We start from the raw sequence: 20,608 nt of genomic DNA, 5'->3' as shown, positions 1-20,608 counted from the left end.
TAAATAGCTTCTTTAAAAAAATTGTAATCAGTGCTAGCATAAAATTAGAACATAATCTCACAGTCTACAGAAAAATAAATACCAGGTAGATTAAAAATCTAAACATTATAAAAAACTATAAAAACCTGGGATGAAATCTTATGGTGGATTATGTAATAATCATGGGGGTAGGAAGGCCTCCCAAACACAAATAACCCACAGCATGTGAGAAGATGCTCACCCTCACTTTTAGGCAGAGAAATGCACATCCGAGCAGCAACAGGATGCTGTTTTTTACCCATCACGTTGGCAAAAAGAAAAGAATGGTATTGGAGATGGTAGAAAGAAAGAGGCACTCTCAGCCAGGTGCGGTAGCTCACGCCTGTAATTGTAGCACTTTGGGAGGTTGAGGTTGGCAGATGACTTGAGTCCAGGAGTTTGAGACTAGCCTGGCCAACATGGTGGAACCTTGTCTCTACTAAAAATACAAAAATTAGCCTGGTGTGGTGGTGTGCGCCTGTAGTCCCAGTTACTTGGGAGGTTGAGGCAGGAGAATTGTTTGAGCCTGGGAAGCAGAGGTTACAGTGAGCTGAGATTGCGCCACTGCACTCCAGCCTGGGCGACAGAGCCAGACTCTGTCTCAAAAAAAAAAAGAAAAAAAAAAGAAAAAAAAAAAAGAAAGAGGCACGCTCATGCTGCCTGTGAGGATTTAAGTTGGGGCAGCCTCTTTGGAGAACAATTCTACCATATTTGTGCATTTAAATGTGGTCATAGCCTTTGGCCCAGAATTTCTACTTTTAGGTCTCATTCCTTCAAACCAACATGAGCAGACAGGCATATATCCAGGAACGTTTACAGCATCATTGTTTTATGACAAAAATTGCGAAGCAACCTATATGTCCAGTAGAAGGGGATGGTTACATAAATAAGCAATATCCATGTCATGAAATACTATATAACAGTTAAAAAGTATAATATGGACTGAGATAGAATGTCCTTCCAGAAATGAAGTGAATAAAAGCCAATTGCAAATCCATATGTATAGCCTGAGTTCATTTGTACATAACAATCCCTGTGTGTGCTTATTAACACAGAGAGAAAGGCCATGAGCCCTACGGCCAGGCTGCAGGCATGGTCCCTCTAGGGAGAAAAGCTGTATCAGGAAGCAGAGTGATGGGAGAGTTTCACCTTTTTTTTCTGGGAATTGTTTGCTTTTTAAAATAAGCACACATTACTTGTTTTATTATTATTATTATTTTTTATGACGGAGTTTCACTCTATTGCCCAGGCTGTAGTACAGTGGCGCCATCTTGGCTCAATGCAATCTCCGCCTCCCGGGTTCAAGGAATTCTCCTGCCTCAGCCTCCTGAGTAGCTGGGATTACAGGCGTGCGCCACCACGCCCGGCTAATTTTTGTATTTTTAGTAAAGATGGGGTTTCACCATGTTGGTCAGGCTGGTCTCGAACTCCTAACCTCGTGATCCACCCGTTTCGGCTTCCCAAAGTGCTGAGATTAAAGGCGTGAGCCCCCGTGCCAGCTACTTTTTGAATTAAAACAATACAACGCTTAAAAAAATTTACAAAGCAATGCATACCCTTTGCAAAAGGCTAAGGAGACAGGGAGAAATAATTATAGTTGTTGTATTTGTTGATTCTGTTACAAGTTGCATATTCCTTATCCTAAATCCTGGGACCAGAAGTGTTTTGGATTTTGGATTTTTTTTTATTTTGGAATATATGCATATGCATGATGACATATCTTGGGGTTGGGGCCCAAGTCTAAACACAAAATTTATTAATGTTTCATATACATCTTACATGTGTAGCCTGAAGGTAATTTTATACAATATTATTAATAATTTTGTTCACAAAACAAAGTTTTGATGGTCTTTTGACTGCGACCCATCACATGGGGTCAGGTGTAGAATTTCCTACTTGTGGTGTCATGTTGGCATTCAAAAAGTTTTGGACTTTGGAGCATTTCAGATTTTTGGTTTTCAGATTAAGAATGCTCAACCTCTACTACGTGTGCCTGGCACTGTTCTGAGATCTTGATATGTATAATCTCATTTAATCTTCACAATATAGTACACTGAGAAGAATGATGGCCCCATTTTACAGGTGAAGAAACTGAGTAACTGAGAGGCTAGCTAACCTGCTCTAAATCACACAGCTAGTAAGAGGAGAGCTAGGATAGAGGCGAATCAAAGTCACCCATAATCCCATCTTTCCTAGAGAAGGCCACTGTTAAGATCTTAATATTTGTTAACCGTGTTATGCGTATACGTGCGTGTGTTTGTGTATGCACATATAAGAGGACCTTTAATTACAGATATGTGACAAAATCTTATCCCATGACAGTTTCCTCCTTCCTCTTTTTCCTCTTCCTTGCTTTGGCTTTGACTGGGACCTTTCCCCCTACTTTTGGGGGATTTTCCAGGACACATCTGGAGAGTCTCTTTTGTGCAGATCAGGAAGCCAGGCTCTTGAGTAAAAAATAAGGCCTTTGCTGAAGCAGAGGAAATCAGAAAGACCACCTGATGGCAACGTTCTTGGAGGGAAGGGACCCCCAGAGGTGACATGCAGGTGGGAAGCACAAAAGTTGCCAGGCCGTGGGGGTCAGTGGGTGACTTGGCCAAAGATGCTACCCCTGGCTTCTTCGATGCTGCAGGGACCAGGCCTGTGTCCAGTTAGGCTGAGTTGAACCCTGTGACCATTTTGAAAAAAGGGCTGTGGACAGAGTAATAGAGAATGTGTTCTGGATACAGAAGCCAGGAAGTCATCTCAGCTTTGAGGAGGGCTGGCCAGGGGCCAGAGTTCAGGGGAGCGCTGGCCCTGGGCTTGCCGAGCATCCAAGCTCTCTAGGCCTGCCCTCGACCCCCCAAGCCCTTGTTCTCACCCCACCCCAATCCACCCGTGGCCCCTCACCTTCCATAGCTGCACACTCCTTATTGTTCAGGAACAAAGGCAGTTCAGATTTTTGAAAAAGAAGGAGAACAAATAAACTCCGCGGAACTCATCCTGCTTGTAAGTGAGCGGGTGGCTCTGGCCCCCGACTTGGGGAGTCATGCAGGCCCTGGTGGTGGTGTCGGGAGGTGGTGGGGGGGCGGGCCCTGGGACAGCTTAGCTGGAAGGGAGCGGGGGCAGGGAGGTGCAGCAAGATAGGAACCGTTGGTGATTTATGGCGCCAATAAGCACAATGGCTCAGTCTTGTGGTTTCCCCTTAAGATGTGTCTGAGCGCAGCCCCCTTGGAGCATCACCTATGTGTGCTGAGGTCAGGAGCCCAGCGTCTCTGCTCTCTGCCAATGGGTGCCCGCCCCACCCCCCGCTGGGGGCTCAGGGAGCGCCCCTACCTGGGTCTGAAGGGCGAGGGGAAGATGTACAGGCATGACGTGGAATGTGGCTTCAATCAGGAAGGTGCAGGGGGACGAGTTGGTGAGCAGAAAGGTCTGGCTTCCTCTTAGGGACAGAGCCCAGGATGCATAGACTGGGAGGGTATTTTGGAGAATCAGCCAGTGAGTAGATTACATTTTGGCGGCCGTCTTGCTGCTTTGAGCTTCAGCCAGCCTGCCCTGGATTGTCCCAGGCTAGAATTCTGGGGTGCTGGAGGTACCAACATTTGTTGAGTGTCTACTGTGTGCTGGGTGCTGGGCTAAACCCTGAACACTTCACTTCTGTTCTTTAAACTTTACAATGCCACCCTGCATAAGTATTACTATTAGTTTCATTTTTCAGATAAGGAAAGTGAAACCCAGAGAGCTCAAATAGCTTACCCAAAGTCCACGGCTAGTAGGAGGCAGAACTGGGATTCAAACCTAAATTTGTCCAAATCTAGAACCTTTGCTTTTAAATGCCACACCTGAGGGATCTCAAGTTACCTTAAGAACCAAGGAGCCCTAGTATGCTTCAATGCTTAAGGGTTGAGTTTGCTAAGGGGCAGGCCTGGCAGAGGTGGTGGGGTGGGGTGGGGGACAAAGAGGACACGGAAGCAGGTCTCCAGAAGCCCTCCAAAGTGAACCTAGACTACTCTCTAAACAGCAGACTGTTTCCAAAGCCTGTGCAGTCTGGGGTCCACTATGACCAACTGATCTGCTGGTAGGCAACTGGCACACTCACCTTGAAGACTAAGACATTTTTCTTTCTGAAAGTTTGACTTCAGGACTAACTCCATCTGGCCTGTTGGCTTCCAGTGCTGTTCCTGACTGCAGAGAGAGAGAGAGAGAGAGAGAGAGAGAGAGAGAGAGAGAGAATGCAACGTTGACTTGTAAGCTAGTGGATGTCAAAGTTCTGGCTTCCCACCGTGGACTTCAGCCTTGGCCGCTTTCAGTTGTCGGGGTCACTCAGAAGCTCATCTTTGTTTGGCCATTTGTTGGGCTAAGAGTGACCAGGCAGATGGTTCTCCTGGGCACAGGTGGCTGTCCTGCCCCTTTCCCCTCCCTCACCCTCCAGCAGGCTCCTGTGTGTCTTACCCCTCCCTCTGCAGCCAGGCACTGAGCAGGGATGTTTCCCTCTCCTCTAGGAGCTCAGATGCTGGAAACAGCATTACCTTCGCTTGAGGGAAACGCGGAACCAGCCCGAACGGAAATGTTGTCAAGAATCCCAGTGCCCATTACTTCCCTTCTGCTAGTGCCACTTTAACAGCTTGAGCCTTCCCCTGTGGGCTTGCTGGGGCAGGTCAGGAGAGTCTCCTGCCAGTGCTGGGCCACCGGCTTCTGGCAGGCTGGAGAGACCTGGCCCCTCAGGCAGGCTGCACGGCCGCCCAAGAAGGCTGTTCCTTGGCTGCCTGGGCCCCTCCAGGCAGTACCAGCACACTCTCCGGTGGCCCGAGCGAGGTCCTCTGTGTGTGGGGAGGTACAGGCAGGCCCTGCTGACTGCAGGCCCCTTTTTTGCCATTCACCGGCTGCTTTCTGCACCCCAGGTCGACGACGCCGGGCAAAACCTTGGCAAGATGGCACTGGGGGGTGGAGGGTTGTACAGCCACAGGTTCTTCCTGGGAGGGCCTGGCTGGAGGTGAGTCACTGAACCCCCTGCAGTTGAGTCCATTCCTCTCGGAGAGCTTAGTGATGTCCTCACAGTCAGTGGCCTCCAGGCTTCTGGGAGGGAAAGAGCCGTGGAAGAGGCTGCCTGCCTCCTGGTGATGGCTCAGAGAAGGGGCGCTCCCCAGGGCCTGGCCGCTACCAGCCGCACGAGCCCCGAATGGACATACGCAGATTTGTTTTTCATCTGTGACTGAGAGGTTTTCAGGCCCCTTTGGCACGAAGATTTCCCTGGCTCTCAGTAAACCAACACTCTGGGGCGTGACAGACCTAAGCGACTGGCATGTACAAGGCCCGGGCTACACAGAGCCACCAGGAGGCCCACCAGCAGGCAGGCTGGCAAGGCTGGGTGACAGCATGAGTTTTGGAGTCAGATGGAACTGGGTTCAAATTTTGGCTTCATAATCTTGTGAGTTATTTTCCTTCCTGGCTCCCCAGTCTCCTGGTCTGGAAAATGAGGACAATAAAAGATTCTTTCCAGGGTTACTGGGAGACTTCAACTGGATAGCACTTGTAAGAGCTGAGGCCGGGCCCCTGTAATCCCAGGACTTTGAGAGGCCAAGGCAGGAGGATTGCTTGAGCCCGGGAGTTTGAGACCAGTCTGGGCAACATAGCAAGACACCATCTCATATTTTGTTTTTTTTTAAATTATTTTTTTTTTGAAAGGGAATCTCACACTCTCTCCCAGGCTGGAGTGCAGTGGTGCAATCTTGGCTCACTGCAACCTCCATCTCCTGGGTTCAAGCAATTCTCCCACCTCAGCCTCCCAAGTAGCTGAGATTACAGGTGTCTGCTACCATACCCAGCTAATTTTTGTATTTTAGTAGAAACGGGATCTCACCATGTTGAACAGGTTGGTCTCAAACTCCTGACCTCAAATGATCCAACTGCCTTGGCCTCCCAAAGTGCCGGGATTACAGGCGTGAGCCACCATGCCTGGCTGTCATTTTTTTTTTTTAATAGAGCTGGGCTCAATGCCAGCCACATGACAAGTGCTCAGGGATGTAGCTGCTGTGACTCTTCCTGGGTGCTTTGTCTCCCATCCTTGGCAAGTACTTCCTCCTTGCTCTTCCTTGTTTGCCCACCGTCTTTCTTCAGGTGCAAGGTGGTCTCAGGCAGCCACAGGGGCTGGGAGGAGAACTTATCTGATAAACTTATTCTTAACCGGCAACAGGATCTGAAAGTGTTAGTGTCGGGAGTATTTGCTTTTTTTTTGAGACAGGGTCTCACTCTGTTACCCAGGCTGGAGTGCAGTGGCCCGATCTTGGCTCACTACAACCTCCACCTCCTGGGTTCAAGGGATCCTCCCACCTCAGCCTCCCAAGTAGCTGGGCCTACAGGCATGCACCACCACATTCAGCTAATTTTTTGTGTTTTTAGTAGAGACAGCGTTTTGCCATGTTGCCCAGGCTGGTCTCGAACCCCTGACCTCAAGTGATCCTCCCGCCTCGGCCTCCTAAAGTGCTGGGATTACAGGTGGGGGCCACTGTGCCAGGCCAGGTATTTGCATTTTAACCCACCTCAACCTCATGGGAGGAATTTATTCGTTCAATAAACATTTACTGAGATATTATCTTAGACTAAGCTATTATCATCACTAAGCCCCCGCCATGTGCCGGGCAGACTTGTTATATGATGTCATCTTTATAACCAGCATTAGGAAGAAGATTTAGTACCCTTCACATTTTACAGATGAAGAAAGTGAGGTTCTGAGTCCTGAAGTCTCATAGCTGTGCCCAGATCTAACTGATGCTAGTACCTACTTCTAAGCCACAGGCTCTGAGCTGGGTCCTGGGGCTGCAAACTGGAATAAACCCATCCCTGACTGCAACAAACATCCTGTCCATGGATGGAGACAGGCAAAGAAACCCGATTCCTAACATGCAGCAATAGCAATAGACATGGGGTTTTGTGGGCACAGAATAGGACATACCAGGGGGCCTTTGGGAACATATGGCTGGGAACATTAACCCATGTTCTCTATGTGGATCCAAAGGCATGCAGAATAGAATTTATTCTCCCACCTTCTGAGGGATCAGCCCACCCATCTAAAATCATCCCCAGAACAGCCTTTCTCTCTCTCTCTCTCTTTTTTTTTTTTTTTTTTTTTTGAGACAGGGTCTCACTCTGTTGCTCAGGCTGGAGTGCAGTGGTGCGGCTCAAGTGATCCTCCCACTTTAGCCTACCGAGTAGCTGGGACCACAGACACAAGCCACTACGCCTGGCTGATTTTTTTTTTATTTGTAGAGATGAGGTCTCGCTATGTTGCCCAGGCTGATCTTGAACTCCTGGCCTCAAGCAATCTTCCTGCTTCAGCCTCCTAAAGTGCTGAGATTACAGGCATGGGCCATTGCACCCGGCTGAACAGCCTCTTTCAAATGTCAAATTACTTCAAGGGCATACCTTGGAATCAAGAGATGTTTCTCTATGTTGTTGCCTCCAACTTCCTTTTTTTTTTTTTTTGAGACAGAGTCTTGCTCTGTTGCCCAGCCTGGAGTGCAGCGGCATGATCACTGCTCACTGCAACCTCCGCCTCCCAAGTTCAAGCGATTTTCCTGCCTCACCCTCCCGAGTAGCTGGGATTACAGGCACCTGCCACCACGCCTGGCTAATTTTTGTAATTTTAGTAGAGACAGGGTTTCCCCATGTTGCCCAGACTGGTCTCGAACTCCTGACCTCAAGTGATCTGCCTGCCCTGGCCTCTGAAAGTGTTGGGATTACAGGCATGAGCTACCGTGCCCAGCCCCGCCTCCCCCAACTTCTTTTTGTTGTTGTTGAGACAGAGTCTTGCTCTGTCGCCTAGGTTGGAGTGCAGTGGCACGATCTCAGCTCACTGCAACCTCTGCCTCCCAGGTTCAAGCGATTCTCCTGCCTCAGCCTCCTGAGTAGCTGGGATCACAGGCGTGCACCACCATGTCTGGCTAATTTTTGTATTTTCAGTAGAGGCAGGGTTTCACCATGTTGGCCAGGCTGGTCTCGAACTCCTGACCTCAGGTGATCCGCCTGCCTTGGCCTCCCAAAGTGCTGGGGTTACAGGTGTCAGCCTCCTCGCCTGGCCTCCCAACTTCTTATATATGCCTCCCAAGATAATTGAGGCATATATACAAGGCTATATGTATATGATTATATATAAATGTGTTATTTTAAAGAAAGGCAAGTGATAGCACTGTGAGTGGACAGTACAACAGGAGAACAGTGTGTATAGTAAAAAGCAAGTCCCCCTCCTGGCTCTACTTTCCTTCTTGAAGGCTATCCCAGCTGCCAACTTCTAACACAAGGTTATGCACATATGTCCTTTTTAAAAAGACACATGATGGCGTATCATAAACATACCATAAAATTCCCTATTTCCTGTTTTTTCACTTAACAGTATAATCTCACCCAACATTCTGCACCAATATCTATAGTTCTATTGCATTCTCTTTAATGGCAGCATAACATCTTTTATGGGTATAACAGACTTTGTCTAACCAGTCTCCTATCAATGGATTTTAACTCAGGTTGTTTCTGGTCATTTTTAGTTACAAATCATCCTGTCATGAAGATCCCTTTACATAGATTTTTACTCACATATGGTATACCTGTATACCTTTGTTGGAGAAAAGGGTATGCATTTTAACATGGAAAACCATTAATGTATACCTGACTATGTCAAATTCATGCCTAAAATCCCATCCAAAGAAATGAATCACTAAGGGTGAAATCCTGACCATCAGCAAGGGACACCATTTCCTCAAGTATAGCCTGCCTGCCCACCTTGAGAGTGGCCTCCCCTTCTCTCCAGTTCCCAAGCCTGAGTACCAGTGAGCAGAGGAAGCTGGGGTACTCTGGCTCCTGAACCCCTCTGGGGAGGGCCCAACTGTGTTCTCTGTGGGTAGAAGTTCCCTCTCTAATCAGTTTTCCCACTGCATTTCATTGGCGGCCAAGAGAGGCTTTCATAACTCTTGCTATCTTTACAATATGTCGTTCAAATTTAAAACATGCTAAAAGGGAGAAAATATTTATAGAATTTTTCTCTGGAAGAAAAAAAAAACCCTACTTTTAAGCCCAGCCAATGACATTTCTGGAAACCACAGAGGGAAAACAGCAACAACTCGCAGAAGATAAAATGGACTAATTACACAACAGATCTCTAATTTAAGAAACTAGCTGCATTCTTCTGTGTTTTTTTTTTTTTAGATGACAGAGAATAAAAATACTGGTTTACCAGCTTATTAAAAAAATCATCCAACAGCTCCTAACCTTCTCTTCTGCAAGATGACATGTATCTGTTCTCGAGTACACATGGTGTACTGGCCTCAGTGAGGGCTGTAGAGAAGGGTCCCTATGGTGGGGTTTCTTGGCCTGTGAAATAGTTTCCCATGGGAAGAACAGGGATCCTGCTGCCTGAGTTATTTAAATCTTGGAGTCTTCCTTCCTTTTCCAAAGCTCTGGGAGCATCTCCATGGCCACAGCTGTTGTGGACACCCAGCCTAGTGGCCTGGCTTTGGGGTGGCCGAGGTAGGTCTATGTTAACTAGTACCTTGCCCTCTCCACATATTCCAGCCCTCTGAGCTGCCACCGGGACCCTAACTGGCCCTTTTCAACAAATACCCCAGGTTTCTAGAATAATTCCTTAGCTATAGGGTGGTTAGCAAAGAAACCAGGTACCCCCTCACTTCTCCCTTGTTTCTGTGAATCCCAGCCTGAGTGCTTCCAAACGGGCCACAAAGGGAAGCTTTTCCTAGCTGGAATTTCCAGAAGCCAAAACACGACTGCAGCCAAAACCTCCCCGTGAACTTCGTTTCTGTTTGGATTTTTATGGAATCGGTTTCTCTCAGACACACATCCTGTGGGACCACGCTCCTTCCCCTTCCCTTATTTTTATGTATGAATGGATTATGTTGGCTGTTTAATGGGTTTGCAGCAAACGCAGGCCACCGAGCCGTTTTAATGAGGTCTCTCGCTGGCCAGCCCGTGGCTTTCAGAGGCCTTGAGAGACCCGGAGAGAGGGTTCCCTGGTGCCTGGATGGGATTTGCTCTCTGCTCTCTGCTTGGGAATCTTGGCTACACCGGCGCTACTCTGATTTGCGGGGGGATTTGGGGAAAGTTCTTTAATCTCCTAGGCTTGCAGTGTAGACCTGAGCTAACACCAGCACTGGGGCCTTAGCAGAACCAGCGCGAGGAATCCTTGTGGAAAACAAAGAATAACAGTGAGAAAGGAGCGAGGGGCTCTGAGGGGGCCGTGCTCGTGGGGAGAGGGATGGCTTCTCTGCGGGCCGGAGCCTAGACCTCAATTCTCAGCATGGAGTTCAGCTGCAGTTGGCTAGGCCTCAGTTTCCCTGGTTTGCCTTTTCTTAGTCGGCTTTGATGTGTTGATTTGTGAACTTATTATCCATCTGTCCAGCACACACAGAGCCAGCAGGCAGGGTAGGGTGACGGAGGGTGGGTGCAGGGAATGCACATCCAAGGGCTCTAGACAGCCCTGGACCTTCCCTTTGAGCTGTAGGGGCCTGAAGAACAGGCCTTCTCTTTTTGGGGGGATCAAAACTTTCATCTGGAATCGGGGTGCCTCTCTCTTCCCAGTGACCCACTCTTGCTGGGAATGAATACGCCTTGGTTCCTGTGATTGTTTTCTGGGCTGGCAAGGGCGGAATGGAGAATCGTGGCCCCTCCTGCCTCACCTCTCAGCCTCCTGCTCTGCCTGGAGACGCCTTGTCATCTGCATTCCCAAGGGGCCCTGCTGTCATTGGCTTCCAGGAAGACTGACAGATGAGGCTTCCCTAGCAGTGGGTCCCCACCCTTCTCCCCTAGGGACCCCTTTTATGAAATCTCTCCCAGGACTCCCAGGTTGACAGTGGCTATGTGGGGAAGGCCAGAGATTCCTGGCCTATTGGATTCCACCGGGGCTGGGGGGTGGGGGAAGTCATTGACGCAGTGGGAGCATCTCCCTAGCCCATCTCCACTCCCAGGCCTCTCGACTGCCTGCCCCATGCTATTCAAATTTGCTCTCCGCAGAACAGCCTGAATGGTCTCTTTAAAATGCACATTGGACTCTGTTATTCCCTCCTGAAAACCGTTTGTGGGGTTTCCAGTGTCTGGAGATGAAGGCCAAGTTCCTTGCGGTGGTTTATAATCCCCTCTCTGAGCTACCTCTCCAGGCTCAATGCTCCTCGCCCTCTGCTGCAGAAACACCAAGCTACCGGTGCGCCCAGCGCACCCCACATGGCTGCCCCCAATGACTTTCTTTTTTTCTAGAATAATAATGTTCTCCAGCCCCTCCTGACTCGCTCGCAGCCTACTGTCAGGAGGCAGCTTGAGTGTCACCTCCCGAGTCTGTCTATAAATTGTTTAGTCATGAATTCATTCATTTGATTGTTTTTCAGTCAATCAGAGAAATATATAACTGGCAATTACAGCTCTGAATCAGCCTGGAATAGCTTGCCTTAGCCCTCAGGCCTTGCTTGAACCCAGCTAATCGAGAACTGGAGAGGGGTCCTTTGCGTCAGGGGCCCCGCCCATGCCTCTGCACCCTGCTCTTTGTTTGCCTGGCACACCCACAGATTCCATACCCCACCCCCCACCCCCAGTGTCCCGGGCATAAGGTGTCCTGGTTGCCAAGAGTGAGGGCTGTGCCTCATTTCCTAGCAGTGCAGGCACTTCCCTGCAAGCAGAGGCGTCTGACCTGTTGTTTTCTCCTTTAGGCTTGGTCTCCTAGATCTTGGGGTCCATCCACTCTTGGGGTCCATGGGCTCAAATGCATAGCTCTATCCTGGGCCTCTCCCCTGAACCACAGCTGCCTCTTCAGCCTCATTGCTCCTTCGGGAATGTTCAGCATGTAGAGCTATGAGGTGGGGCGAGGCCACCAAGGGGCCAGATAAACAGAAGAGAAGAGATCCAACAGCCTGAGGAAGGCCTGCTGTGAGCCACACTTAAAAAGGTGGCCTTAGATGTCCAGTAGACAGCAGAAACTCAGCATGGCCTGAACCTGCCCCCACACCTGCTCCTCCTTACAGCCTCCTGCAGCCCCAGCGGTCCACTGAGCAGTCCAAAACCCATAGCATCATCATCTTTTTTTTTTTTGAGACGGAGTATCCCTCTGTTGCCTAGGCTGGAGTGCAGTGGTGCAACCTCGGCTCACTGCAACCTCTACTCCCAGGTTCAAGCAATTCTCCTGACTCAACCCCCTGAGTAGGTGTGATTGCAGGTGCGCACCATCACCCCTGGCTAATTTTTGTATTTTTAGTAGAGACAGGGTTTCAACATGTTGGCCAGGCTGGTCTCGAACTCCTGACCTCAGGTGATCTGCTGCCTCAGCCTCCTAAAGTGCTGGGATTACAGGCGTGAGCCACGGCTCCTGGCTGCATATGTACCCTTTTTATGGATCTTGTTTATTGTCTATTCCTCCTCCCATTGGAATGGAAGCCTCCGTGAAAGCAAATATTTCATTTGTTTTGTTCACTATTGTGTCCTTAGTGCCTAGAACAATGCCTGGCACAGAGCAGGCACTTACGAAATATTCACTGGATGAAAGCAAGAATGGATAGATGGATGGATGGAGTGGCTGGTAGGCAGATGCTCCACTGGCCTCTGTCTTTCAGGCTTCATCTGAAGACGCATAATGCTGGTTGGCCCCTGGTGAGAGATTTGCTCACCATGCCTAGGTCCTCTCGGCATGAGCAGACTCCAAAAGTTCAGTTCAGTGGTCATCAGTTCTGGAATTTGATTTTTTCCTCCTCAGTGGACTTAAGATGCTCCCTATGTGGACAGTAGAGTGACTGTCCACCATCTTCCTTTCCTCAGGCTGCAAGCCAGCATTCACAGCTTTCTCCTTGCTCTGCTGTGGCTCATAACCAGCAGCAGTTCTGCATGACTTACTGCTGGAGCTGCTGCTCTTGGAACGTTCTAGAAACCTCATGGGCCCTGGTGAGAGATGGAAAAGCTTTAACTGAAATGTTGGTGCCAGCAGCCCTTGGCACCCTGTAGAGATGAAAGCAGGAGGGCCTTGATTTTTGACCAGCCTTTGCAGGCTGCCTTAGTGGAGACTTTTGCCTCAACCGAGTAAGCATTCCAATTTCAAGATGAAGTGCTCAATTTACCTGAAGGCATGGTCCTAAGTGACATTCACTGAGCCAGAGTGTGCAGTTTGCATGTCCATAAAATGGGGCCAGTGATATTGACCTTACAAGGTCGTTGTGAGGAATAAATGAGCAACATAAATTGCAAAATCTATAAAAGTGTCTTGTTTTATTATTATTGATGGTTCTGACTCCCAAGGGAGAGCCTACTTCTCTGTAGGATGGGGCACTTAGAAGACTTCGGCGCCTTCTGGCAAGGTCCTGCAGCTTCTGGAAGCCTCCTCTGCTCACATGTGGGACTTGGGCATGGCTTAACATCCAGCCTTCTATGACTGGAGGGTGGCTTCTCTTTTCTGACTGGCTCTTGGGGTCTCTAGCTGGCTCCTGATGTGGAAACGGTGTGTGGGAAGGGAATGACCATTGACCTTTTTTAGATTTTTCATTGTTTTCATTTGTATCTTCTGATGTGCTGAGAGTTTATTAACCAGCGAAGGGACTATCAAATCCAAGCCTGCTCTTGCTCACTGAGAAAAAAAAAAAGGAACACGAGGAAGCAGCCTGTAGGGGTGGAGACGGCACTGGTCTGGAAGTCTGGACATTCGGGTCTAGGTCTCATTTCTCTCCTTCCCTTTGTCAACTTTAGGCATGGCAGGTCACCTTGCTAAGCCACAACTGCCTGTAAAGAAGGGAGCTTGGGGTAGACGATCCTGTTCTGAGCCAGTGTAGTCTTATAACTATCACTTTTAAATAATAATCATATCACAGCTGGAAATAAAATTCAGCTGTTGTTCTCTCTTTTCAAAGTGGTTGCCCTTCCTTTGGAATTTCTGGGGCATCTCACCTGCAGTCCTTCCAGTATATTCCCAAGGCTTCCTTTCTCTCTGCCTGAGGGTATTTTCTAGTCACGGGCATGCCCTCAGCCTGGAAAGCAACAGGGTAGGAACTGCCTCTAGCATGAACTCTCTCTCTTTTTTTTTGGAGAGAGGCAGGGTCTTTCTCTGTTGCCCAGGCTGGAGTGCAGTGGCACAATCAGCTCACTGCAGCCTTGACCTCCCAGGTTCAGGTGATTCTCCCACCTCAGCCTCCCGAGTAGCTGGGACTACAGGTGCACGTCACCTTGCCCGGCTAATTTTTGTATTTTTGTAGAGATGGGGTCTCCTTATGTTGCCCAGGCTGGTCTCGAACTCCTGGGTTCAAGCAATCCTCCCGCCTCAGCCTCTCCGAGTGCTGGAATTACAGGTGTGGGCCACCACACCTGGCCTTAGTAGTGAATACTTGATCAATGGGGGATCCATGGGTGCATCAGCATCCCATCTTCCTTGCCCTTTGGTGGGATAATTCTGTAGTGCACTCTCCCAGCGAGGCCCCCTGAGAGCCTGAGCCCCAGTTGCCCACAGAAAACCCCCGCTCCTCAACGCATCTTCTATCGGTGTTCTCCTTACCCATGATCACCTCCTTCTATGGGCTGAAGTGTGTCCTGCCAAATTCATATGCTGAAGCCCGAACGCCAGGACCTTAGAATGTGACTGTGTTTGGAGTTAGGGCCTTTAAAGACATGATTAAGTTAAAATAAGGCAATTAAGGTGGAGCCCTAATGGAAATATGCCTGGTGTCCTTACGAGAAGAGGAAATTTGGACACAAAAAGAGACACCAGGAGAGTGTGCACAGAGGGACAATTGTGTGAAGGGACAGTGAGAAGGCAGCTATCTGCAAGCTAAGGAGAGAGGCCTCAGAGGAATCTGACTCTATTGGCACCTTGATGTTGTGCTTCCAGCCTCCAGCACTATGAGAAAACTAGTATCTGTTGCTTAACCCACCCAGCCTGTAATATTTTGTTATGGCAGCCTGAACAAACTCATATACCTCCCAAATAAGCTGCCCAGTCCCAAATCGTTGACCCAGAGTCTGCTTTTGGGGAGAAAGAAAATTAGGACATCATCAATCAAGGACAAAAGGTTAGTGCTATGCTAAGGTCTGCAGGGCCTTCTTTGGGGCGTTAAAGATCCAGTCCCCAGGGTGGGGTCTGAGAGCAGTTTGTAGAGAAACCAGCTCATCCTCAGTTGGCAGAAAAGGAGACAAATACTCAGAGACGTGAAAAAGTCAAAAACATCGTCATATTCACCTTCTCATTCGGATCTGAAGCTGGTTCATTGAGAGGAGGTGGAATCACGTGGAGAAATGTACACCAGGAGTCGGGGCTGGGATAATGTGTGTTACGCGGTACAGGAATACAAATGCCTTTATTCACGTGAAATTGCTTCAGAATGAAGGGCTGCTCGAAAACTGACCCCCAAATGGAGCATTTTGTATTACAAAATAAAATTGCATCCCTTTAGCTCTGAGAAAAATGCACATTGCCCTCATCTGAAATGTGGTGATAATTATATGCCACATTATTCATCCTGTGTCATTTCTGGTCACATTCAGCATTTGGCTTAGAGGCAATTTAGGATGTGCTCAAAACAAAGGCAGTCACGCAAAAGGCACGGGGATGTATTCCAGGCAGTCAAGGTAAGTGGTACAGTGCACGGAACCTCAAGGTTCGCTTTCTCCCAGGATGACATAACTGCAATTTCAAATGTTTTCTGTGTAGGAGGACCAACTTTCACATGCTTTTTAGGGAAAAAGAAACCAAGTTAAATAATGCAAATGCACCAATATCAAAGCAGCAGGTGTGTGTGTGTGTGTGTGTGTGTGTGTGTGTGTGTGTGTATGTGTATGGGTGTGCTTGTGTGTAAGGCCAAGAAAGTCAGGGTTACATGCTCTGGCCTGAGAAGACTTGGAGGTGAAGGGAATACTAGTTATTAGTGTAGTAGTGTTAGGAGATTAGTTATAAGCTATGTTAATTGTCTGTTGCTATGTAACATATTACCCCCAAAACTTAGCAGCTTAAAACAACAAACATTTATTATTCCTCCCACTGTCTGAGAGTCATGACTCTGGAGTGGCTTAATTGGGTGGTTCTGGTTCACAATCTCTCCTGAAATGCAATCAAAATGTCAGCCAGGGTTGCAGTCATCTGAAGGCTTGACCAGGGCTGGGGGATCCACTTCCAAGGTGGTTCACTCACACAGCGACTGTAGGAGACCTAGAAGATCCTTCTCCAAGCTCATTCATGTGGTTCCTCGTCACATGGGTCTCTCCATAGGCTGCTGGTGCCCTCATGACATGTCAGCTTGTGACCCGAGAGACAGCCAGAGAGAGCCCAAGATAAAAGTCACAGTCTTTTTAACCTAATCTCAGAAATGCTATCCTATCACTTCTGTACTATTTTTTTTTTTTTTTTGAGACAGAGTCTTGCTCTGTCACTGACGCTGGAGTGCAGTGGCACAATCTCAGCTCATTGCAACCTCTGCTTCCTGGGTTCAAGTTATTCTCCTGCCTTAGCCTCCCGAGTAGCTGAGATTACAGGTGCCTGCCATCACGCCCTGCTAACTTTTGTATTTTTGTAGAGATGGGGTCTCCCTATGTTGCCCAGGCTGGTCTCAAACTCTTGGCCTCAAGTAATCCACCCGCCTCAGCCTCCCAAAGTGCTGGGATTACAGGTGTGAGCCACCACACCAGGCCTTATTCTATTTGTTAGAAGCCAGTTCCTCACTCCAGCCCACACTCAGAGTGAGGGGATCTCACAAGGGTGTGAATACCAGGAGGTAGAGATCATTTGGGGACCATCTTAGAGGCTGCCTGCCACAGGGAGCAGGCCCTTTGTGAACCTCACTGTCCTAGAAGGTTCTTGGGCCTGAGAAGGTTCCCTATCACTACAAGTGAACGTGGAGGAAAAAACATCACGTGTGGGACTTGGGAGATCTTGTTTCTTGCCCCGACGTTGCCATTTCTGGCCTGTGTCTGAGAGCAACCTCTCGAAGACTCAGTTTCCCCATCTGTAATATAGGGACAATAGTGCTGACCTCATTTGTGAGGCAGGGCTAGTTGGATGACATGAGCTGCATAATGCTACAAGGTAGAAGGAATGACAGTTGGTGGCCTCCAGAACATTCCCTTCTGTACCTAACCTGCTGTGCCTATGGGATTGGAAAACCTGGGACAGAGGGCCCAGGGTCTTTCTGTTTATGTGGGTGACAGTTTCCACCGTGGTGCACTTCCCTGGTCACTCCAGCCTCTAGGGGCTTAAGGGCCAGAGTGGCAAAAGCCTGAACAGTCATTAAATAACTGACCATTAACTGGTGTCACTCTGAGGCCCTCAGCCCAACAGTGACCATCTAACAGTGATCCACAAACCACATCCCTCGAAAGCCAATGCCTGGTCCTTCCCATGTCCTCAGTCTCCGTGGGTCCCCCAACTCTGTCCTGTCACCTCTTCAATGGCCAGAATGTGCAAGAAAATCCTTTAATAGTTTGGTACTGTCCAAATGCTCTTTTCATTTCTGGGTCTAAGTATTTTATATTTCCTCTGCTGAGTAATAAATACATGAAATTTCCTTTTCATGCGAGGTCTTGTGGGCCAGAGGTCTTCAGGAAAGGTAGGGAAGGCCTGGCAGCCCCTGTGCAGGACGGGACTGCGAGCCCTGAGTTTGTCTCCTCACTGAGCTGCCGGATTGCACTGGGCAGGCTTGAGCCCCTTTGGAGGGAGGGCTTTTGGTCTTGGGGGCAGTTGCCAGTGACCTTGCTGCAGCTCCCATCGTGCTCTGGGGTGTGCTGTCCAGGGCAACGCTGAAGAAAGCTGGGAGTGACTTGGGAGGCAGAAGAATCTCGGTTCATCCCCAGTTCTGTCGCTTATTAGCTCTGGGGCCAGATGGCAGCTCCCTCTGGACAGGGCTCTGTCTACCCTGTTCCCTACTGTATCTCCAATGCTTGTGATTCTTTTTAAATTTAATTTTTAATTAAAGCACAATTTACATACATTGAAGTGCACAGAAGGTGTGCAGTTTGATGAGTTTTGGCAAATATACGTGTCTGTGTGACTACCACCACAATCAAGATCTGGAACATTTCCATCATTTGAAAACATTTCCTTGTTCTCTTCCCAGCCTGTCCTCCCTGGTCAGCATAGGCAGCTCCTGTTCTGATTTCCCCAGAGGTTAGTTTGATCTCTCCTTGGAGTTCATATAAATGGATCATACAGCATGTGCTCTCTTGTGTTTGGTTCCTTTTGCATGACATAATGTCTTAGGAGATTCATTCACATCGTTGTGAGTATCAGTAGCATATTCCCTTATATTGTTGAGTAGAATTCCATTATATGGCTATACCACAATTTGTTTATCCATTCATCAGTGGATGGATATTGGAGTCTACTCCAATTTGGAGCAATTACAAATATAGTTTCTTTTTTAAAACATTATTTTAATTATTTCTGTTTTTAATAGAGACAAGGTCTTGCTATGTTATCCAGGCTGGTCTTGAACTCTTGGCCTTAAGCCATGACCATGCCTCAGCCTCCCAAAGTGCTGGGAGTACAGGTGTGAACCACTGCGCCTGGCCAACAAATGTAGTTTCTATGAACACTCCGGTGCAAGTGTTTTTATGGACTTATGCTCTTATTTCCCTTGGGCAAATACCCAAAAGTAAAATTATTAGGTTGTAGGGTAATCATATGTTAAACCTTGTGAGAGACTTCCAGACTGTTGTTCAAAGTGACCGTGCCATTTTACACTCCTGCCTGGCACTGGAATCTTAAGTGGAAGAATGGAGACACCAGAATGCCAAGAGCTGGTCATGTGTCCCTGGGTCTGCCCTGGCCCCTGCCAAGGCCAAGCTTTCTTCTCCAGGCTTCTGAACTATTGTGCCAACCTCCCATCATCTTCCAGTCAATTTCCTTTTGCCCAAATTAGTCAGAACCTGTTTCTGTTATTTGCAATCAAAGAACTCTATGTAACTGATACAGTGCCTACCACAGAGTAAGTCCTCAACAAACTGCAGCTGCTCTTGTTTTTGTTTACTTGTGTGTGTTTCTTTAAGATGGAGTGTCACTCTGTCACCCAGGCTGGAGTGCGGTGGCGTGATCTCAGCTCACTGCAGCCTCCATCTCCTGGGTTCAAGCGATTCTCCTGCCTCAGCCCCCCCGAGTAGCTGGGATTACAGGTGTGTGCCACCAAGCCTGGCTAATTTTTGTATTTTTAGTAGAGGCGGGGTTTCACCATGTTGGCCAGGCTGGTTTTGAACTCCTGACCTCAAGTGATCTGCCCGCCTCAGCCTCCCAAAGTGCTGGGATTACAGGTGTGAGCCACTGCACCTAGCTGAGGCACCACGCCCGGCTGCTCTTGTATTAGTAGTAGTATAAAGTGTCCTGAGGGGCAGGGAGAGGGGCAGGGCTAGGCTTTGAGATTCTGTTTGTGTATAGAGGAGGAAGAGGGGTGCAGTTGCAAAAGGGGAGGAACGATGGGGGCGGTGTTCTAAGATACTTGGATATGCAAATGGCATTTGGTCACTCGAGTCTGGGGCAAAGGCGCTTCCCATTTGGTACTTTGGTCTCTTTTAATGCAAATTGGAGAGCTTCAAGAGATGGATGCTCTTTGGGAAGGAGAGAGAGTTTCTGAGGCTCCCTGGGTACCTGTTTGGCCATCTTCTTGTCCCTCAGCAGGCAGGGGGGGCACGACGGCTCAGGAAGTCCCCACTCCCTAATGCAGCCAGTTTCAGACTTGCCTTAATGGTGCCTGCTGGGATGTGTGGAAGCACCTGCTGCTTTTGATTTGTGGAATGAGGAAAAACCCCCACAACTTTTGGACTTCTTTTATTTATTTATTTAGTTTTTGAGACAGAGTCTCGCTCTGTTGCCCAGGCTGGAGTTCAGTGGCACGATCTCAGCTCACTGCAACCTCCGCCACCTGGGTCCAAGTCATTCTCCTGCCTCAGCCTCCCAAGTAGCTGGGACAACAGGCACGCACCACCACACCTGGCTAATTTTTGTATTTTTTTGGTAGAGAAAGGGCTTTACTGTGTTGTCCAGACTGGTCTCGAGCTCCTGGTTTCAAGTGATCCACCCACCTCAGCCTCCCAAAGTGCGGGGATTACAAGCTTGAGCCACTGTACCTGGCCGGACTTCTTTTTACTTTTGTATCAATGTGGCCAACATGGACTCTAATCCACTAGAGGGAAAGCCCACTTGCACCAAAACCTTTTTTTTTTTTTGCATATATTTTTTTTTAAAAATGAAGAAAAACAGGGTTTCTTGAGGTTCATTTCAGTCCTTTTGGAAAAGTCGGAAGGAAAGTACTGGGCAATATGGACATGTGAGCACTGGAGCGGGAGTCCAGGGATGGGGTGCTATTCTGGGCTCTGCCACTCAGTCCCTGTGTGACAGATGGAGAGGCCCTCCCCTGTCTGGGTCTCAGTTTTCTCCTCTATGAAATGGGGAGCTGACCAACAGGATCTCTGGGAACTGACATTCTCTGTGTCTACGTTTGCTGCATTGTGGTCACATTGGCTGTCTTTGTGCAGGCTGAATGGTATGGAAAGGGCCTGCTAGGGTGGTGGATGCTAGCCTGAGCCCCTTGTGCATTTGAGGGGAACTAGTTGTTCTGAACACAGGGACTACATTCAGCAGAATTTGGGCAGGGCCAGAGCTCAGTCAGTT

The 20,608-nt window shown here is 48.5% G+C and overlaps 1 long non-coding RNA gene across 2 annotated transcripts, besides 3 other annotated features; it reads right to left on the bottom strand.

Moving 5' to 3' along the window:
• Positions 1-1,681: 1,681 nt before the first annotated feature.
• LOC105373180 (uncharacterized) lies at positions 1,682-11,862 on the bottom strand. Of its 2 annotated transcripts, XR_949028.3 has the most exons (5): positions 11,681-11,862; positions 4,097-4,182; positions 3,334-3,467; positions 2,908-2,926; positions 1,682-2,709 (listed from the first exon to the last, which is right to left on the bottom strand). It is a non-coding gene; the product is annotated as an uncharacterized LOC105373180 (long non-coding RNA). The 2 variants fall into 2 exon arrangements; XR_949029.3 differs by lacking the exon at positions 2,908-2,926 and having other exon boundaries at positions 11,681-11,853.
• Positions 3,588-3,817: an enhancer, noted in NCBI's record as "active region_29533". NCBI's record gives its function as "activates an Ori minimal core promoter by ATAC-STARR-seq in GM12878 lymphoblastoid cells {active_cell/tissue: GM12878}" and the evidence as "EXISTENCE:reporter gene assay evidence [ECO:0000049][PMID:35858748]".
• Positions 11,062-11,561: an enhancer, noted in NCBI's record as "H3K4me1 hESC enhancer chrX:39788469-39788968 (GRCh37/hg19 assembly coordinates)". NCBI's record gives its function as "activates a minimal SCP1, AML or CMV promoter by ChIP-STARR-seq in naive H9 embryonic stem cells {active_cell/tissue: H9 hESC(naive)}" and the evidence as "EXISTENCE:reporter gene assay evidence [ECO:0000049][PMID:30033119]".
• Positions 11,562-12,063: an enhancer, noted in NCBI's record as "H3K4me1 hESC enhancer chrX:39787967-39788468 (GRCh37/hg19 assembly coordinates)". NCBI's record gives its function as "activates a minimal SCP1, AML or CMV promoter by ChIP-STARR-seq in naive H9 embryonic stem cells {active_cell/tissue: H9 hESC(naive)}" and the evidence as "EXISTENCE:reporter gene assay evidence [ECO:0000049][PMID:30033119]".

This window comes from Homo sapiens, chromosome X, assembly GCF_000001405.40.
Source record: "Homo sapiens chromosome X, GRCh38.p14 Primary Assembly".
Taxonomy (NCBI): Eukaryota; Metazoa; Chordata; class Mammalia; order Primates; family Hominidae; genus Homo; species Homo sapiens.
This window is presented reverse-complemented; position numbering and strand designations above follow the sequence as displayed.